Here is a 3,104-nt window from a genome sequence, read left to right as displayed (position 1 = left end):
ATTCAGAATCCAACCTGATAGAGCTCCTAATGTCCAAAGCTGGAAGAATTTGAACCCAAAATAAGTAACATGGTGTTGGATTATAACACAAGTATAAAATAAATATAATGATTCATGCTGATATAAATAAAAGATTGAGTTAATGAACAAGAAGTAAATAAGAAGGGGAAAAACTTCCTTATAGAAAAATTTCAAATAATATAGGTATATATTATTATTAAGCTCTAGGAAGTAAAGCTTAATCTCTCACCTTCTTTGACTATAGGCTGAACTTGGTGACTTGTATTCAAAGAAAAGAGTATGGAAAGGGGAAAAAATAGTAACTTTGCTGTGGAGAAATCTGGTAAATACCACCATAACAAAATGATCGAGGTTAACATCACCAGCAAAGAGTTATGTTAATATTTTGTACCCCCTGATGTGATATGATGAGAAGGGCACTTCATCTCTGTGGCATTCTTCCCCAGAATCATTACCCTAGTCTAATCGTGAGGAAAGCATCAGACAAACACATACTGAGGGCCACGTTACAAAAATGTAAAACTGACCAGTATTCCTCAAAATGGCCAAGGTCAAGTAAAACAAGGAAAGATTGAGAAACCATTATAGACCAGAGGAGGCTGGGGAGAGACATTACTACTAAATGCAATGTGGCATCCTTGGTTCTCTCCTGGGCCAGAAAAAGAACAGTAGTGGAGAAATCTGGTAAAATCTGAATAAAGGCCTGAGTTTAGTTAAAGGTATATAATGATGTTGACAAATTTACCATGGCAAGGTGAGATTCTAACACTAGGGGTAACTGGGTGAGGCATATACAGAAACTCCTTCTGTTATATTTGCAAATTTTCTGTAAACCTAAAATTATTCCAAAATTTAAAATATATATATATATATATATATATTGTGTAATAGCTATTGAGGAGGCTCAGAGCAAGAGAATTCAGTCTCCTGGGTGCTGGGAGATTTCTGAATAGACTACCAGGTAACTCATCAGGACCTTGTCTCTGTCTGGAGAGTGAGGGCCTGGGTGGGGAACCAGCAATGTTACAACAGGCTGGCCATGAATCCATGAAAGCACCTACCCAGCCAGTCAGCTCATGAGAGGAAGCAGAAGCTTCATATGCTCTCTGGTGGGCTGACCCACAGTCCTTCCACAAGAAAAAGAAAAAGCTTATCAATGTGTACTTGTGCTAAAAGACCATAGCAAATGGTCCTATTTTCTTCTTTATTTTATAGAATTTTTCACAATATGGAATCTCAACGTGTTTCCCAATAGCCTAGTATTCAAGGGGGGAAAGAAAGAAGGGAAAGGGGGAGTGCCAGGAGAATCATATTATAATTTAATGAGACATGACTTTCCAAGATGGCACAATGGCAATACTATTTTTGCCATTGACCCCTCTTCACTGGTCAAACAAAAACATTGTCCATTAGAAATCAGACATATAAATAGATATCTTATTTGACCTATTGTTAGCATTTGACACAGTTGATAACTCATTCCTCCTTAATACATTTTCTTCATTGGCCTTCAGGACAATATGGTGTCTTGGTTTTTCTTCTATTTCACTGGTCAGTCCCCAGTCTCATTTGCTGTTCCTTTCTCCTCTCACCAACATTTAAACTAGGGCTTAAACCTGTTTCTCTTATCTTTCTACAGTCACTTCCTTGGTGATATCCAGTCTCATTGGCATCTAGATGCTAAAATGTTCCCGAATTTGTTTCTTCATCCCAGATGTCTCTCCTGAACTCCAGACTCACATTCCAAATGTTTACTGGACATCTCTACTTGGATGTCTATCAGAATTCTCAAACCATACATATCCAAAATGGAACTACCAATCTTCCTCATTGCCCCAGCCCCCACCCAAATTCCTGTTCCACTCACAGCTTTCCCATCATGGCAACTCGATTTTTCCAGTTGTTTGAGCCACAAATTTTGCAGTTATCTTTGACTTTTCTCATTCTCTCACAACTCATAGGAAATCTTGTTGGTTCTTCCTTCTAAATACCTAGAATCTAACCACTTCTAACTGCCATGGCTGCCACCCTCGTCTGGTCTGAGCCACCATCACCTGTTGCCTGAATGACTGCGACAACTCCTTACTGATGTCCCTGATTTGCCCCTCCTAGAGTCAACTCTCAGCCAGCAGCTAGGATATGTTAGATTATGCCTCTTCTTTGCGCAAAACCCTGTAATGGCTCCCCATTTCACTCAGAGTAGAAGCAGAAGTGCTTACAAGACCCCATGCGATCTGCTCTTGGGATCTTGGGTGCCTCTCTGTCCTCTAGTCCCTCCCTCCCTGGCTCACTCTGCTCCATCCATGTTATCCTCCTCGATGTTCCTCAAGCTTCCCCTAGGGCTTTTATGTGGGCTATTCTCCCTGCCTATAACTCTTTTCCTGCAGATATACACACAGAGAACTTCTAGTCTTGGCTCAAATTGTAGGGTTACTAGATAAAAATAAAGGACACCCATTGAAATTTGAATTTCAGATAAATAGTGACATGGACATGCAATCTTGAACATACTATGTATACTAAAAATTGTGATTTATCTAAAATTGAAATTTAACTAGTATCCAGCACTTTTGTTTGCTAAATCTGGCAATTCTACTCAAATATCATCTTATCAATGATGCCTATCTCCATCTTCCTCTCTAAAATCCTACTTACCCTTCTCACACTCGCTTTGCCCTTTTTTTGATATACAACCTAACATGTTATACAGTTTACCTATTTATCACCTTAATCTTCTGTTTCCCTACACTGTCATGTAAAGATTCAGAGAAGGAAACATTCATTGATATAACCCAAACACCTAATACATGGCAGGCACATAGTAGGTGCTCAATAAAAACTTGTTGGACACATAAATATCTTAAGGGATTAAGAGTTATTGCGCTTCTGCATCCCAGCAAATATTGTAGTAGGTGCTTGGGATCCTCGCAATAACCTTGCAGTACATGTTATCTTTTTTCCACAGTCAAGGCTCAGGGAGGTTTGGTAATGTCTCAAGGTCACACAGCTAGTAAGTTGCAGTTCTAGGAGATAAATGCAGTTCTGCCAAACTCAGCAAGCCATTCTACTTTAGCTGTGCTGGG

The sequence above is a fragment of the Homo sapiens genome, chromosome 5 (genome assembly GCF_000001405.40).
Source record: "Homo sapiens chromosome 5, GRCh38.p14 Primary Assembly".
NCBI classification, from domain to species: Eukaryota; Metazoa; Chordata; class Mammalia; order Primates; family Hominidae; genus Homo; species Homo sapiens.
This window is presented reverse-complemented; position numbering follows the sequence as displayed.